General features: G+C 37.5%; 1 protein-coding gene across 53 annotated transcripts in view, besides 1 other annotated feature; it reads left to right on the top strand.

Moving 5' to 3' along the window:
• Positions 1-18,840, top strand: part of AFDN (afadin, adherens junction formation factor) — a 145,460-nt gene that overhangs the window by 48,965 nt on the left and 77,655 nt on the right. For 34 of the 53 annotated variants that reach the window (XM_047418796.1, XM_047418798.1, XM_047418800.1 and 31 more), the window contains exons 6-8: positions 4,832-4,989; positions 13,687-13,798; positions 15,334-15,501. In XM_047418796.1, the coding sequence (XP_047274752.1) occupies positions 4,832-4,989; positions 13,687-13,798; positions 15,334-15,501 (438 nt within the window). Of the gene's footprint in view, positions 1-4,831; positions 4,990-13,686; positions 13,799-15,333; positions 15,502-18,333; positions 18,379-18,840 lie in introns of all 53 variants that reach the window. The other 19 variants (XM_047418788.1, XM_047418789.1, XM_017010878.2 and 16 more) reach the window with 1 other exon arrangement.
• Positions 17,885-18,760: an enhancer, noted in NCBI's record as "NANOG-H3K27ac-H3K4me1 hESC enhancer chr6:168294093-168294968 (GRCh37/hg19 assembly coordinates)". NCBI's record gives its function as "activates a minimal SCP1, AML or CMV promoter by ChIP-STARR-seq in primed H9 embryonic stem cells {active_cell/tissue: H9 hESC(primed)}" and the evidence as "EXISTENCE:reporter gene assay evidence [ECO:0000049][PMID:30033119]".

The raw sequence follows: 18,840 nt of genomic DNA on the forward strand, positions 1-18,840 counted from the left end.
TTACAAAGAGCATTGTTTAATTACACTGTACGTGCGTGAGACTTGCTTTAACTAAAGCAATGGGTGGTGTAACCTTTTCATAACAAATGTGTACCATATACTTCTGGTACAAAATCAGCCTACCCTATGTACAAGAGTCCTGTTCACATAGGGATATGTTTAGTTTCATACTTTTACCCAATACAGCTCTTAAAAAAAAAAAACTAGAAAATTTCAAGTATATACAAAAAAAGAGAAAGATACAATAAACTCCCGTGTACGTATCACTGAGGTTTCTTCTGTTCTCCAAAATACATTGCCTCCATTCTCAAACTATTATTGGGAAGCAAATCCCTAACTTCTCATTCTTTCAACTATAAATATTTTGGTATATTTTCCTGAAGGATAAAGATTCCTTAAAAACAAAACAAAATATAACCATAGTATCATTATCATATATAAAATAATTGATAATAATTCCTTAATACTATCAAATAACTAGTCATTGTTTAAATTTTCCTGATTGCCTCAGATGATTCTTCTGTTTGAGATGGGATCTAAATGAGATGTAACACATTGAATGCATGGTCACTTGCTTCTGCATCCATCGCAGACACTGCTCAGGACTCTATTTCTCCTGAGCATATTTCAGCCTAGTGTCCAGACAGCCACCGTCTGGGGGGAACGTTGGCCCACCCTAGTGTTAGTGCTTATTTTGACCCTTAGCACCCTATAACTGAGTCGTAATTAACATATTTCACAGGACTTGTAGTGCCAGTGATTCAAAAAAGATCTCAGAGAGTACGGGACTTCTTGGTTCCATAAATATTCTAATAGATTACATTTGAGACCCAAGTGATTCTTTGTTTATATATATTTTGTCTTGTTCTGTCAAGAATTTGAAATAATTTCTAAATCTATGCACCAAAAAAGACAAAACAAGGAGTCTGAAAGAAAATACAAAGAAGAACAGTAGTAAAAATTTTTTAAAAGACAAGAGGAATGCTAAGAAATGGCTACATGTGCTAACCACGTACCAGACCTGAAGGCACTTTGTATGCTGTAAGAAGGAGTTTGACATTATTACTGAAATGAATTTCTGAATGTATTCTATGGTTCCCTTAAAGAATACTCAGGTATGGGCTAGAGGTAGTGAGTCATGGTAAACATAGCTAGCTTAGAGTATCAATTTTTATATCTAACTTTAAAAAATATTTGTTAGAATGAAATATGCTTTAATGTGGTTAGAATGTAACATTTACATTTTTTTTTTTTACGATAAAATAGGAAGTTTTTGTATGTCAGTTAGCTTATGTCCCCAGATTCCCCCATGTATTTTGCACTGCCATTGGGGGTATTTTGATGGAAAAATTTGATATGCTTTGTTAATAAGCTGTTGAAGAGTTTTAAGCTAGGGGTTTAGAAGGCTTTCATTGTAGCCTAAGCTTTATATCTGGAGAGATGACTGTGGAAGCAGAGTGGAAGATGGATTTGAGGGAATTCTGATTAGGAGCAGGCATGCCCATTAAAAGTATTGCTTTGGCCATATAAGGAATAAGGGGCCTCTGAGCTCTGTCATTGACAGTGGGACTGTAAAGAGAGAAGGGTCTGAAGAAATATTTAAGAGGTAGAATTATCAGGAACTGGCAATAGACTGGATTTTACTGAGGAGGGGAGGCATTTAGGATGGCCCCTCTGCTTTTTATTGGAAAGATGTTGATGGACTGTAGAATGAAAGAATGTTTGGGGGTGGAAGGTAGGTTTTGTTTATGTTTGTCACATAAAGTGCTGGTAGGATATGGGATATATTTTAGGCTACTGTTCCAGTGGCACATGGCGATTAGGGTTTGGGAGTGATCAGTGTTAGGAGACAGTGTATAGATGATTCAGAAACTTAAGGGAAAGCCATTGATTGTTAAGAGGAGTCATCAAAGCAAACAGGAAAAGCTGCAAAGAATTAGGAGGAGAAATAGCAGAACATCAAAGTACAGCTTGTCTGTTAAAGGGGTGATTGGGGGTAGAAGGAGCATTTTTCTATATGTAGACTCTGAGGAAACTCTTAACTAAATATTGATAACAAAAAATGGCCCTTTATGGTTAATACTAAGGAAGCCAAAAGTATTAATGAAGTCCAAGGTTTTTATTTGTTAGTTTTAACAAATAACTTCCTCTGAAAAAATATATCCTTACAGCCTACTGCAGCTATCAGCTTAGCTATCAGGTTAATTCTTTAGTGTGGGCTGGAGACAAGGGCACCTGTGAACACCACTTCTCTGAGAGTGACAGCTGTGTCTGTTATTTTTTTCTCTTTTACCCCAAGGATTAGTTTCTCAAGTTCTGATGACAGAACCTGCATGTCCTCCTTAATTTGTTTTTGTTAAACTCACCTCACAGCTGATCAGGCATCACAATTCATAACAAGCTTTGCCCCTGAACTTTGTGTTTTTGACACTCAGTTATATTTGCTTCATGATGGCTTCAAAATGTAATTGACCCCAAAATGCCCTATATATCTCAGTTAATTCATTTGTGGTACAAATACTCTACTACCATTTATTGTTATGGTTTTTTTTTTTCACTGATAAATTAACAGAATTGTAAGAGAAGTTTTAGTTGATTCTTCCTCTTGGGTTTTTTAGCGCGCAGTCTTGTGAGTAGCGGGGCACTGTGAAGTGCAGAAGAACATGGACCTGGGGTCAGGGTGCAGTTGGAACCACTGTGTACAAACCAAGAGCCACAGTTTCTTCATCTTCAAAACGGGGCACTAACCAAAATCATATAGATGTTACTGCAGTCTACCCAATTGTTTGCTCATCCTATTGTACATCTTTTTTTTTGTGAATTACTTGAGGTCTGTATTTGGATGTGGAGTGTAATTAAATAAGGAGTGTGCCTTCTGGTGTCATGGAAAACACAGTTTAAATGGACTCCACTCCTGTTGCTAATGTCCCTATCTTCATCCAAAAGCCAGGATCTTCTTTGGAAAGCACAAGTGACATTTTGTCCACCTCCTTAGACATATGCACGCAGACACAGTCATACATGTGCACTCTTGCATGCACGCACGCACACACACCCACTCTCTCTCTCTCTCTCTCTGTCTCTCTCTCTCTCTCATACACATAGAACTTAAACCCTTCCAGTGGCTTTCACTTTAACTAGAATAATTCAAACTCATGATGTGATCATGGTCTGGGAAGTCCTGTATGATCTGGTCTCAGTTGGTTCCTGACCTCATCTGCCCCTTTTCCCCTCGCTCTGTCCGTACTGGCCAGTGAACCCAACCAGACTTGCCCAGCCCTGGGCCTTAGCAGTTGCTGGTCCCCTGCTGAGACAAAGCCCTTCCTTTAGATTTTCACATGGCCACTTCTGTCTGGTTGTTCAGGTCTGAGTTCAAATGTTTATTCTTCAGAGAGTTCTTGGCCAGTCACCCAAGCTTAGGATGCTCTCGGTCATGTTCTTTCTCACAACCTTATATTTTTCACAATGTGTGTCACTATTTTAAAGGTATTTATTTGTTTTCTTGTTAGTCTTCTTCCTCTGCATCCTACTTCCCAACCACAGGATGTAAGCTGTTGAGGCAGGAATATCATCTGACCTGCTTATTGCTGTTCCTCTGCATTGGAACAGGAGAGCCCCTGGGCAGTGTGAGTGTGCACATGGTAAAGATGTGCTGCAACCTGTGATTCCCCTGGTCTGGCTTAGCAGGTCCATATTCTAATACTACTGTGGACTAGTTGGTTTCTTAAAAGACCAACATGATTTTATTGTGAGCTAAGCTATCAAAATGCAATTCATGCCAGACTTGTTGAAAAAGAGAGTATGAGAAATATTCAGTAACTGAAATAACTGCATTAGAATTAAAAAGTAATAGAATCATGGAAATTAAGAATTTGCTTCAAGAAACCCACAGATTTTCTAATCTAGCTCTCTTAAATTACAGGTGAGAAAATTGAGAGTTAAAGAAGCCAGAGTGCATACCTAGGGTCACAGTGTCATAATGGGACTGTGGAACCTATCTTAATTTCTTCCCTCAGTATCCTTCCATCTGGACTTCAGATTTCAGGTTATATTAATCTTGGACCATAGGTAGAAAGCAGGTTATGACACCAAAAGTGACAATATTATGACATATACATGTAGATTTCCATTAAAAAGAAACAAAAGAAAATGTCAGGATATCCAAATTGCTCTGCTGTAGTTGGTTTTCTTTTTTTCTCCTAAATAAGTTCACAGCTATAAAGGACATTGTAGTTTGTAGTGCCTGGAAGTAAAAATAGAACTCTGCTCTGTTGGCAAATCTCTTTTGAAAAATCTTTGGCCTTGAGCACTTGAGATCTCCTGGTTCCTACTTCACTTTTTAAAAATGGATTTATTTAGTGGGTTAATATTTAACTTTATCTGGGTTTTTAGTTTTTTTCAGATTGATGATCAGGAAGTAGGAAAATGGGAGAAATAGGTATATAATAATATATAGGTAAGGAAATCGCAAAGCAATTGAATAAAGAGCAGCACCATAGAGAAATTCTGGAGTTCCTTCCTTTTCTTTCCTCACTATAGATACGGAAATCAATTCATTGTTTTTAAAAACTCCTTTAGCTTGAAGAGAGAAGATGAAAATGGTCTTTGTCATGCTGGATTGTTCATGGTTTCTAAGTGTCACTAGATCAACTAGTTACTGCTATTATATGTTATCTAACAGGAAATGAAACAATAGTTATTAGGCAGATTGTCTTTACACTCATTTTAGCTAGAATGCAGGTACCTTTTTCTCAAGTGACTGTAAATGTTAGCTATCTCTGTTACTGGCATAAAGTAAGTTGTACTCAAAGATGTCAAAATGTTTTTTCAGGTGGAACATTGAGAATTTATGCAGATAGTTTAAAACCAAATATTCCCTACAAGACAATCCTGCTGTCTACTACAGATCCTGCAGACTTTGCTGTGGCTGAAGCTTTAGAGAAGTATGGTCTGGAAAAAGAAAACCCTAAGGATTACTGCATCGCCCGGGTAAGGAACTTTATCAAATCAGTAGTTCTTTCTACTTCACATTTAAATGGTAGATTTTCTTTAAATCAAATTAAACCTAGATTTTCAGCCTACCATATCATTTAGAATCTGATAATTTACAAATCATGTGCTAAATATATATTTTTAAAAAGCAGTCTCCCTTCCATTACAAAAGCAATACATATTTCTATTATAAAATAAGAAAAATATTAAAAGGCAAATTAAAGAAAATGAAAATTACCCCAAAATCAATTGACCACATATACTTGTGGTTCTTATTCTGGTCTCTTTTCTGTTCCATTGATACATATGTCTATCTTTTTACCAATACCAAGCTGCCTTAATTACTGTAGATTTATAAGTCTAAAATTATGTAAAGTATGTGCCAATTTTGTTCATGATTTTAAAAAATTGCTTTGTTTATTCTAGGTTGTTTATGTTTCTTTATAAATTTTAGGATCAGTTTGTCAGTGTCTACCCAAAACCTTCTGAGATTGTGATTGGGTTTGCATTGCCTCTGTAGATCAACTTTGAGAGACTTCTCATCCTAATAATATTTAGTCTTCCAATTTGTGAGCAGAGTGTATCTCTTTATTTACTTAGTGCTTTAAATTCTCTCAGCAGTGTTTCATAGTATTCAGTGTAGAGGTCTTGTGCCTCTCTTGTTAGCTACAGGTAGAATTAAATAAAAGGGTGTGTTGTTTGAGTTTTATAACTTTTATGTTTTTGCTGAGAAGCTAAGAAGTTACATTGAGTTGGAAAAACTAGTGATTTGAAGCTTATGAATACAGCTCAACTTTAGCTGACAGTAGATGGGAAATCATGTTTTTCTCACATTAAAATGACAATAAAGGAATAAAAATTTGTTTAAATGCACAAGAACAAAGAGAATGAGAGATGAGATGACAAGAGATTAGTCTGTGGAATTTTGCAGATGTAAATGAGAGGTCTCTGACTTGCCAGACCAGAGAAATCTTGCTGGGAGGACATCAAGACAAAGCAGGCAAGTGTATCCCAGCCCCAGGAAGACTCAGGAATTAGAGGCTTTGGAACTTTCTAAGGCAGTGTTGAAAGTTGGGCTGAAAAGAAGAAATTGGGCTGAAAGTTTCTGTAAGAAGTGGCAGACTCCACCGGATTCACTTCCCTACCCTAACTGCTGAAGGCTAGAGTAAAACTGATGGGAGGTGGGTGGGTATTGAATGGAGTCCGTGGATTTGGAGGTAACAGGAGTAGCACAAGGTGACAAGGGTCTTCACTGAAAACAGGAGGATGAAGTGAAAGACTGTACCCAGAATACTGATGGCTAGAAGATTTATGGATCCCTCTCAGAAGGCACTTGTTGAAAGAAAGATCTGTATAAAAATGGACCTTTGAAAATTCTGGTCTAATAACATCACTCTGAGACTTAGCAACAGTAACCCTTGCCCACATATATAGCCTTTACATTCAGCTTTCATGGGACTTGCTGTCAAATGTTGATAGCCAAGGTTCAACAGACATTTGAAAAAAGTACCTTTAAAACGGGGACAGATAACAGAAACATTAAGAAAACTGGAGCTAAAAGGGAGAAACTGGAGAGAACAGATGGAAGTTTGACAACACTAAGACTTACAGAGATAAAGAAAATAGTGCATCCATGAAATAAGACTAGAATGCTGGAAAAAGAAACAGACGGAGAAAGAACTCTTAGAAATAAAAAATATATAAAGTAAATAAGCGATAGAGGGGGGAAAATGTTAATAAGATAGGTAGAAAATAAGGAAATCTACCTAAATACAGATCAAACAGAAAAAGAAGTAAAACAGACAAGATATTTAGATTATTAGTGTAGAATATTTAACATATACTAAAGGGGGATCAAAAGGAAGCCAGGCATGGTGGCTCACTCCTGTAATCCCAGCACTTTGAGGTCAGGGGTTTGAGACAAGGCTGGTCAACATTGCGAAACCTTGTCTCTACTAAAACTACAAAAAAAAAAAAAAAATGAGCTGGGCATGGTGGCGCACACCTGTAATCCCAGCTACTTGGGAGGTTGAGGCAGGACAATTACTTGAACCCGGGAGGTTGCAGTGAGCCTTGATCTCGCCATTGCATTCCAGCCTGGGCGATGGAGCGAGACTCTGTCTCAAAAACAAACAAACAAAAAAGAAAACCAAAGGAAATGGAGAGACGGAAGTTATCAAGGAAATACTGCTAGAATCTCTCAGGACTGAAGAAGTTTAGTTTCTAGGTTGAAAAGGCCCACTGAATAATGGTATAATTGCTTTGACAAAGACCCAAACCAAAGCTTATTATTTTGAAACTGCAGAAAACTAGTATTGAAAAGAATGATTCAAAAGAAAAAGATTCAAGTTGCATATAAAGGTTTGGGGAGTAAGGCTGGTGCTAGTCTTCTCAACAGTAACTATGGTATCTGGCATGCCGTGTACTTTCAAATGCAGAGTGAAATGATTCCCCATCCAGACTGTCAGCCAGGTGTTACGTGGATGGAATAAAGACATTTCAAAACATACAAGGCAAAAATTTACCTCCCATGTGCCCTATCTCAAAAAAGTGCTGGAGGACATTGTCCAGCAGAATGATGGAGTAGGCCAAGAAAGAGAGAGAGGGAGAATTCAAGAATAGAATCTATCAAGAGAAGGGAATTCCAAGGATGATGGGGAAGGAAAGTCCAGAAGATTCCTCTGCAGTAGTGCTGAACGGCACACACTTGAGATTGGAGATAATGTCCAAGACTGAAGGTAAATAGCAATAAGGACACATTGTTTAGAAATATGGTGGTAAATACTAGTTGTGACATCTAAAATAAACAAATAGCCAGTAAATTCCTGAGGCTATTTCTATGAGCATTTATTTTTGCAGTATTCTGTGCATAGCAATAAAAAAGCAGACAACAAGCCCAGCACTAAGGAATGCTTCTACCACTCAGTGACGTGTTGCTCTGCAACGTCAGTTAAATCTCTACTAGTTGACCTGGAGGTATATACAGGCACACCTCAGAGATGTTGCAGGTTCGATGCCAGAGACCGTCACGGTAAATCTGGCATCGCAGTATAGTGAATCACAGGAGTGTTTTGGTTTCCCAATACGTATAAAAGTTATGCTTTTAGTAAAGTGTGCAGTAGCATTGTGTTTAAGAAAAAATGGACCTACCTTAATATAAAAATGCTTTATTACTTAAAAAATGCTAACAGTCATCTGAGCCTTCAGCAAGTTATAATCTTTTTGCTGGTGCAGGGGCTTGCGTGGATGTTGATAGCCACTGACTGACCAGGGTGGTGGTTGCTGAAGGTGAGTTAGGTTGGCTGTGGCAACTCCCTAAAATACAACAAATGAAGTTTGCTGCATTGATTGACTCTTCCTTTCACAAAACATTTCTCTGTAGCATATGATACTGTTAGATAACATTTTATGTACAGTAAAATGTCTTTCGGAATTGAAGTCAGTCCTCCCAACCCCTGCCACTGCTTTATCAACTAAGTTTATATAATATTTGAAATCCTTTGTTTTCATTTCAACAGTGTTCACAGCATCTTCACCAGGAGTTGATTCCATAAGAAACTACTTTCTTTGCTTATTCACAAGAGGCAACTCCTTGTTTGTTCAGCTTTTATCATGAGATTGCAGCATTTCAGTCACATCTTCAGACCCCATTTATAATCTTAGTTCTCTTCCTGTTTTCACCTCATCTTCATGTACTTCCTTCACTAAAGTCTTGAACAGCTCCAAATCATCCATAGGGTTTGAATCAGTTTCTTCCAAACTCCTTTCACTATTGATATTTTTCCTTATCCCGTGAATCATGAATATTCTAATGGCATCTAGAATGGTGAATACTTTCCAGGTTTTCACCCCAGATTTATCAGAGAATCACTATCTATGGCAGCTATAGCCTCATTAAATGTGTTTCTTAAATAATAAGACTTGAAAGTCAAAATCACTCCTTGTTCCATGGGCTGCAGAGTGGGTGTTGCTTTAGTAAGCATGAAAACAATGTTAATCTTGTACCTCTCCACCAGAGCCTGGGTGACTAGGTGCCTTGTCAGTGAGCAGTAATATTTTCAAAGGGTTCTTATTTTTTTTTCTTCTTTCCTCTGAGCAGTAGGTCCCAACAGTGGGCTCAAAATAGTAAGCCATGCTGTAAATAGATGTGTTGACATCTAGGATTTGTTGTTCATTTATAGAGCACAGGCAGAGTTGATTTGTATAATTCTTAAAAGCTCCAGAATTTTCAGAAAGGTAAGTGAGCATTGGCCTCAACTTAAAGTCACCAGCTTCATTCGCCCCTAACAAAAGAATCAGCCTGTTCTTTGAAGCTTCGAAGCCAGGCTTTGCCTTCTCCTCTCTAGCTAGAGAGTCCTAGATGGCTGCTTTTTCCAATAGAAGGCTGTTTCATCTTCATTGAAAATCTGTTATTTAGTGTAGTGACCATCAGTGGTCTTAGCTAGATCTTCTGGAGAACTTGCTGCAGCTTCTCCATTAGCTGCTTCACCTTGCAGTTTTATGGAGATGGCTTCATTTCTTAAACCTCACAAATCAACCTCTGCTAGCTTCAGACTTTTCTTCTGCATCCTTCTCACCTCTCTCAGCCTTCATAGAATTGAAGAGAGTTAGGGCCTTGCTCTAGAGTAGAATTGGCTGTAATATTGTGGCTGATTTGGTCATCTATCCAGACCATTCAGACTTTCTCCATATGAGCAATAAGGCTGTTTCTCTTTCTCACCATTCATATGTTCATTGGAGTAGCACTTTTAATTTCCTTTAAGAAGTTTTCCTTTGCATTCATAACTTGACTGGCACCAAGAAGCCTAGCTTTCTGCCTGTCTGGGCTTTCGACATGCCTTTCTCACTATGTTTAATCAATTTTTAGCTTTTGATTGAAAGTGAGTGATGTGCAGCTCTTCCTTTCACTTAGAGGTCATTTTAGGGTATTAATTGGCCTAATTTCAATGTTATGTCTCATAGAATAGGGAGGGCCAAGGAGAGGTAGAGAGATGGGGAGTGGAACATTCAGAACACACACACTTATCAGTTAAGCTTGCCATCTTATATGGGTGCAGTTCATGGCACCCCAAAACATTAGTAACATCAGAGATCACAGATCACCATGACAGATTTAATAATAATAATGAAAAAGTTTGAAGTATTGTGAGAATTAACACAATGTACACACAGACACAAAGTGAGCAATGCTGTTGGAAAAATGGCATCAGTAGGCGTGCTCAACGCAGGCTTGCCGCAAACCTTCAACTTACATTTGTTTTTTCTTAAAAGAGCAATATCCGTGAGGCACAATAAAGCAACAAGGTATGCCTGTACATTTACGAATACCCTGTCTTTGTAAAAGCAGTCATCATAAACAAAACCAGATAACACAATGCTGTGTATATGTTTACATGAGCAAAGAGAAAGTTAAATGCCTAGAAAAGATACTAGCTTACAAACTAAGTGAGGGAAAGAGGGAGGAAAAGACTTTTAACATGTGTTATATGATTAAGATCTGAATCTCATTATAAAATAAATGCATAAAGATAATTATTGAAAGTATGGTCACAAAAATATAGTAATCTCACAGTAGTTTTTTTTTTCCCTTGTGCTTTTTCTGTATTTGAATTTTTTTACAGTGAACATGTGTTATTCAGAATCAGAAAGAAATACAGCAAAGCTCATTTCATTGGGATGGGAGAAGAGAGATAAGCATGGGTATTTGGTAATTTGGTGCACCTTTTTATTTCTTTGGCCTTTAGTAGGAAGTAGTGAGAAATAGTATCAATAAAATTGAAGGAAAAAAGTCTTCTCAGAAGTGAAATTTTAAAATTTATACTTTAAATGAGAATTCATAGATAAACAGTGTCATGAACTAGAGTTCTGCCATACTCTGTGGGGCATTGATTGGGTAAGGGTGTAAGGTTGTTCAGTCAAGGTAATTGTACATTCTCTCTGAAGGAAAAATACCTGAGCTGGAGGGTGTTGTGGTGTGTTGCCCTGACAGTTACTTGAAGTGCAAGAGAGCTCTGTTACAATCCTGGGCCTTATAAGATAATCCCTTACCATTCACAAGAACTATATAGCAAGTATGATTGTATATATAAGAGAGATAATTTACCTATAGAATAATTAAGTCCATGGATATGATGGGTTTTTTAAGTGGTCCGTATACTTAGAATTGATTAGTAACTGCTGTACAAAGTTTTCTAAGTCAGAATACTATTAGTAAAACAGCAGTGTACATAGGGTCTGTACTACTGAACAGACGCCTGATGCTTTCTGAGCTGTGTCCCTCAGCTGTTGTGGTGTGAACACTGAGGGCAGGAACTTGAAGCCCTGTCTCTACTAAAAATACAAAAATTAATTGGGCATGGTGGTGGGCACCTGTAATCCCAGCTACTCGGGAGGCTGAGGTGGGAGAATCACTTGAACCCAGGAGGCGGAGGTTGCAGTGAGCTGAGATCGCACCACTGCACTCCAGCCTGGGTGACAGAGCGAGACTGTATCAAAAAAAAAAAAAAAAAAAAAGAATGCCTGGTGTTGCATCTGATACCTGGTGTTGCTCCAGTATTTGCCAAGGGAATGTTGATGTTGATAAGTGTATATAAGTCTATTTAATAATAAACTGTTCTATAAAATTGCATCTGATAAACTTTTTAACATCTTTTTCTTTTCAGTAATTTTTGGCTGATTTTTACTGATGAAAATGAGAAAGTGAAAGAGCACCTTAATCGGGGTTTTAAAGTTATAAAAGCCTATCTTGGGATTTTATTGACAGTCCCTTATGAAGTCATTTGATAATTTCCATTGAGTGTTTCTTCTAGTTTTGGTTTTCTGTTCTGTTATTTCCTAACCAGTTTTCTTTTGCAAGATTAGGCAATACAAATCAGGAGGTAATTATTGTTTTACCTTGAAATTCTTTATCTTCTCAGCTTGCCTTTTTTTTTTTTTTTCTTTTTTTCCTTTTGGAGATGAAGTCTCGCTCTGTCACCCAGGCTGGAGTGCAATGGCACGATCTCGGCTCACTGCAACTTCCGCCTCTTGGGTTCAAGCCATTCTCCTGCCTCAGCCTCCCGAATAACTGGGACTACAGGCGCACGCTGCCATGTCCGGCTAATTTTTTGTATTTTTTAGTAGAGACAAGGTTTCACTATGTTGCCCAGGCTGGTGTCGAACTCCTGAGCTCAGGCAGTCCACCTGCCTTGGCCTCCCAAAGTGCTAGGATTACAGGCATGAGCCACTGTGCCTGGCCCAGGTTGCCATTTTATAAATTGTAGCTGTTTTCTTATTCTTTATTCATTATTTTATCTATTTAATTATTTAATAAATTTTCTCCTTGTTAGATATTATCCTGGGATAAGAAGAAGCTGCCCTTAGAGCTTATAATAAAGGGAGACAGAAAGACTAAGAAATAGAAAACAGGGAGCTTTTCTATTAGAATGAAAATCATTGAATGCTTTCTAGAGAAGTTGTACTTAAGCTGAAGGATGAGTGGATGTTATTAGACATGAAAGTTGGGGCAGGAGGGATCATGGAAGCATATTATATGTCGCCGAGTGTGAGGATTCTGGTTCCATGTGACTTGGCTCTAAATGTTTGATAAAGATTGAGACTAAAGAGATGAGTGAAGGTCAGATCCTGAAGTAGTATGTGTTCTAAGCCAAGATACTGAATGTAATATGAAACACTATGAAGAAAGATTGGTTAATTTATGATAAGGTGTGTTACAGTCTATTTGTCTTTTTAAGGTAATTGAAGCAGTGTAGAGAGAAATTACAGGGTTCTGTAGAAGAGTCTAACCCATTTGGTATGTGAGCATGAGGATACATTTGGGTGGTGAGGTCTATTAAGATAACATCATTACATTAATTACAGGTTGGAAGTAATGTTCACATGCCAGTGACTTGGCCTTCTTTTCTTATTCTCTCTAATCCTGTTTTGGTTCATGTTAGCAGTGTGTTAGAGTGAAGATGGAGCACTAGCCCAAAGTCTAGAAGAATATTGGACAACCATCATCTCCCACTCTCCTCCATATTACAGTGTTTTGGGGGCTTTCTTAGATTATTAAAAAAATTGTTTGGCTCTAGTAAAAATGTAATAAAAAAGTAATACAGCATTATGAATTAGGAGTTCAATGAATACAGTATATTGAAACAGGTGGTTAAAAGCATTTGTTGAATGAATGACTTGCCCTGTAATATATTTAAATGGTCTGATTAAAATTTAATCATAAAGAGATTATTTCAAGAAAACGAAAACTATTCTGGCTTGTTGTATGGTGGTTATCCTAAGATATCTCATATTGTATGAGCCCACTTTATAAAAACAATTGTTTGAATGTGAAAAGGTGGGTTAAGGACTAGAGAGATTGAAATTTGCAATAGTGAAGAAATTACACAGAAGTTAACCATTACGTACTGCCGTACTGCCTTTCCATATAAAAAGTTGTAAAAAAAAAAAATATTTAGTCTACCTCTTTTTAGGGACCAGGTGATTAAAAGCAGCCAAATCAGCTGGCTTAGCTTTTTATTATAGACTGTTACCTTTCACTTTTATTGATGATTATTTTGATGATGAGTGAGAATTGTTTCTAGTGCTTAATTCTACGGTGACATTTTATTCATTCAAAAGCAATAAATGTGTTCTTTTAAGTACTTGTTAACTTAGTTACTTTGGCACATTCATAGTTAATTATTTTTGTTTTTTTAGGTTATGCTTCCTCCTGGAGCCCAGCATTCTGATGAAAAGGGTGCTAAAGAAATTATTCTTGATGATGATGAGTGTCCTTTACAAATCTTCAGGGAATGGCCAAGTGACAAAGGTAGTAACCTTATTAAAGGATTACTTACACCAGATTCCTATGTGATATACCAGGTGTTCACCTTATCACATGATGTAGGAGATGTGTACGTTAATGTTTTTGGATGGCCTTGTTGTTGTTGTTGTTGAGACAGTCTCACTCTTGTTGCCCAGGCTGGAGTGCAGTGGCGCAATCTTGGCTCACTGCAAGCTCCACCTCCCGGTTTCAAGCGATTCTCCTGCCTCAGCCTCCCGAATAGCTGGGATTACAGGCTCCGCCCCCATGCCCGGCTAATTTTGTATTTTTAGTAGAGATGGGGTTTCTCCATGTGGATGGCTTTTTGCTGTAGAGCTTTCTGCCTCCTTCATTAACTTGCTTGATGATTCCTGAGTGTTGCCGTTGTCCCTAAGACCACACTCAGCTTATCTGAGTCTCATGTGTTAGACACTGAACAAATGGTGATACTGCAGGTAAATCACACATCTCATTAAGAAACCACAATATTAGCACTACAGCAAGAAGCGAAAGATCATTGGTATCTACCAGTAGTAGAAAACACATTTCATGCTGACTAGATTAACTGTGTGATGTTTGGACAAATTTGTTATGATAGAGAAAATGACTTCTGTAACCCTATAGATTGTCCAGTGATTTAGTCATTTCAAATAATGAATTCACACTTTGCACTACTGAAACAATTTTCCCTTATTATTTCAAAGCAGTCTTAAGTTTAAAGCTGTGTTTTTAAGAAAATACGGTTTTCTTTCAAATTCACATCATAAGTTAACTGTTAACTCCATAGAGGGCCTTGCATTAATAACGACATAAAAATGTATTGCCATTTAATCGTGTCAATATGGAATGTAGATTGGTAGTTTTAAAACACCAAAAAAATCTTTCTCAGCAAGCAAATTTCTATCCTCCTTAAAACACTTGTTTAGTATTTTTTAAAAACAGTGTAAAGTTAAAATTTTATTAAAGGCAAATTGCCTAAATTCTTTAAGTTGAATTTAATAAAAATCAGGTCAACTAAAAATATACACATATATTTTGTTAGTAATAGAATTGTTGTTTTATTTCAATAGGCTTTTGCGGGAACAGGCGGTATTTGGTTACATGAATAAATTTTTTCGTGGTGATTTCTGAGATTTTAGTGTACTTATCACCCTAAAAGTACATTTTTATATGTGTATTTGTGTGTGAATGTGGTTTTTATATGTATGAATGTATTTACTGATCATAGAGTTGTTTACTAATGTAAGCATTTATTCTTAACCTGGTGTTTTTTTTTCAAGCTTATGATGTCTTTCGGTAGCTGTTAATTTAGAGTAGTCTTTGGAAATTGCTTGCTAGAGCTTTTCAAACACACCAAGAGGCTAATATTTCCTCTGTTGAGTGAAAGTATGAATTGGGTAAGCTGTACACAGTGATTCCTTGGCAGATGTTCCTAAATTACATGCATCTTTTTGAGAAAGTTTTGCACAGTTGACTGCCAGTCAGCGGGCCATCCTGACCAACCTGAGTCTGCCTGATGATTTCCCATGCTGCTGTTCTAGGGATTTTAGTCTTTCAGTTGAAGAGGAGGCCACCAGACCACATCCCAAAGAAAACCAAGAAACACTTGGAAGGCAAGACACCCAAGGGAAAGGAGAGAGCTGACGGGTCTGGCTATGGCTCCACCCTTCCTCCGGAGAAGCTGCCCTATTTAGTAGAGTTAAGCCCAGGTGAGAAAACTGGTCACACCAGCACACATTATTAATGTGCATTTTTAGCTTCAAATCTTTGTACTTTCTAATGCATCTTCAAGTAGTCTTCTGTTGGCTGACTTAACATTTTTAGCCATTTATTTTTTTAAAAGTAACTCTCATAACATTTATTTCTCTTAAATTATTAAAACTTAAGGTTGTAAAATATGTATATGTTTACATAAAAATGGTTCACATGGACAAAGATGAGTATTCAGAAACCAAATTTAGTGTATGGACAATTTTAAATTATTTTAATCCCTAAAATTTTTTTTTCCAAGATAACTTTAGTAAAATAGTTACTCTACCAACAATGACAAATTGGTATTTACCTAGGGCAGATTTCATAAAGGGGTGGGTGTGTGTGTGTGTGTGTGTGTGTGTGTGTGTGTGTGTGTGTGGCTGTTGTTTCTGATGCATGGACAGTGTCTAAAAAGAATATCTTTAAATTTTATATCTAAGAAACCCATCTTAGTAAGAGGAAGGCTATTTGATTTTAAAGTAACAGACTACATTTATTTTCACATGAGTCCTCTAAGTGTTTTTTTTGTAGAACTCTTAATACACTAAAGCTGTCGTTTCAGGTTAGCCATTGAGTAGAGAAATACGTGGGCATTCTTAAGGAAATGTTTTACACACACATTCCTAGGTAGAGTGTATATTTGCACATATGTATGCTGTGCATGGCTGTACATGACATTTATCATTCAGTTAACATTACTTCATTTCTTATTTCATTATTAAATGCTATTATGTGACCTGCATTATACAATACTGTGAAGATCAGAGTGGTGCACCCCCATCCCAAGCTGCATCAAAAGAAAGCCCGAGTAGTAATCACAGAGCAAATTAGCAGAAAATTGAACCAGTTATGTGTATGATATATGGCTCCATGAATGTGAATTACATTTTTTCTTCTTTGATTTTTGAGAGTTTATTTTTATTTGCAAGGTTTGTTTAGTTTCTTACAGCTAGGTTATTGCAATTAACTAATGATTACATACGATATTTGTTGTCCAGCAGTCTCATGGTACCGTAGGTTATATAAATACAGGAAGTGATGGTATCATTTTGATGCCACAGTTAGTGGCAGTGTGGCTTTAGGTAGTAGCTTTTATACCTAATTATGCTTCAGGACTTTAAAAAAATCAATTGATTAGCTATTTGTGAGGAATATATTGGTGTTGCTAACCTCAGTTCTCTGGGTGGAAAGTTTACTTGAAGCTTTATTATCTCACTGTAGTTTGGAAACACATCCCAGTATTGTTGTGTGTCTATAATGTGTGTGAGAGCATTGATGTTTGGTTGTCTGAGGTAATGAATGGCAACTATGAAGCAGCCATTAGTTTTTGAACTTAAAATTTTTTAGGCTCTTTTTTGGGTATTGGGTCTGCCCTTTAAAATTTTATATTAAATTCTAGAAACTAATGATTGTTTTCTCCAAATCCAAATTTTTGAGGATCTAAGAGTGTTGAGTTCTGAGAGAAATTAATAAATAGCAGCTGACAGAATAATTTTCAGATGAGTAATGGACAGTTTATTTTGGTAGATAGCAGAGACAGGATGAGGATTCATTCATTCACGCATGCATTTGATAAATATTGATTGAATACTTGTGTGTCATACCGTGTTCTGGGCCTTGGAGGTAGAGCACCAAAACAGATTAAACCCCTTCACCTTGGGGATTTCTCTTCTAGTGAGAATTGTTATTTCGACTGCTTCTTTCATACTTATAGTCTCTCAGGTAATCAAATACATAGAATTTTTTTTTGTAGGTGTGGAGTAGATCACAGTTCTGTACTACTTTTCACCAAATATTGGCAACAGCATTTGTTACATGGTTATTAATACACTGCATCCCTCATGGCACTCTGCTGCCTTCAGTCAGCATTCACTGACCCTTCTACTTTAGGCAAAACAATGGATACAAAAGGATTAAGTTCCTTCCCGCCTTCAGGTAATTCACACAGTGGGAGGGAATCACAGTGCCATGTGACAAGTGACTCTGCCTCTAGTCCCGACTTCTCCTGAGCCCTGTGCCTGTGGGATAGCTTAACTTGTTCCACAAATGTCTGAAGTTCAGGTCTGGTGCCACTATTTTAAGGGTGACCTAAGGGTTGGTGGCAGGCCTGAATGCAAGGCCAGGGTCTTCCCTGCACCAAAGCCATGTTCTTTCACTAAGTCATGATGTCGTTTTAGGTTTTCATTATTATGCATTGCTCACAGTCAGCATGCTGAATGAAATTGATCTATTTTCCATTTATGAGAAAATAATATTCATACATAATGATTTGTTATGAATGGATAAGTACTGTATTTCCCCTGGGCACATTGTCAGCCAAGCATTATATACTCAATGCTGAGGTTCTGCTGGGTGTGGTTAGGAGTTTTTTTGAGATGTGGTCATGAGCTCAGCATTGTCTTTTGGAGAAATGGGGAGAAATACATTATTTCGTTCTTTGCTTTGGATTTGAATGTGTTCTTTAAACAGAAGAAATCAGCCCAGTGGGGTGGTAGCCCTCTGTATGATTAACTCACTGTTGCTGTCCTGCTGCTTGGTGACTCACCTGTTGTCCTGTGGTTTCCCTTAACAGTCTGCATTGGTTTCTAAAACACTGACTGGGGCACTAGTATAGTCTTGTCCTCACAAAAGCTGATGGGTGAAGTGTACCTTTTCTTCCTTTGAAACGTGTCTCACTGAAGTTCACCCTCTGCGTCTCTTCTCCTCCTTCCCTATTCCGCGTGTTCTGCATGGTCTCTCTCCTGCTGATGCTGCCTTCACCTGGGTCCTGGCATGTGTCTTAACCCCAGGGAGAAGGAATCACTTTGCCTACTACAACTATCACACTTACGAAGGTAATGCTATGCTTACTACTACTTTTATAACTAAAGCACTAATAGAACCTCATGGGCAGAATAGTGTTGAATGACCAAATATCTTATGTATCAGTTTTTTAGTTGATATAAATAACCTATTTTAAGAAATTTAATGTACTGTCATTTTATTTGTACCTAGTAAGTTTCCATATCTAGAACTCATTTCATTTACTGGAAGCTTGTTTTGTGTCTTTATTTTCCCAGGTTCACCCTGGGAAGGAACTGAAGGCAAAAGCAGCAGTGGCTGTGGAGGGATGCTGGGGAGTAAAGACAGAGTGCTGTTTCAAAGCACTCGTTGGGCGGTGCTCAGCCAGTCTGCCTCCCTTCATCTGTAGAATAGGAAAACTTTCTGGTAGCAGTGCCGTTACTGTCTGTTGTGGGGTTACTTAGATTTGTCTCTGCTCTTCAAGGTGCTCCAGATTTATTGTCATTATCTACGGG

The sequence above is a fragment of the Homo sapiens genome, chromosome 6 (assembly GCF_000001405.40).
Source record: "Homo sapiens chromosome 6, GRCh38.p14 Primary Assembly".
NCBI lineage: Eukaryota > Metazoa > Chordata > Mammalia > Primates > Hominidae > Homo > Homo sapiens.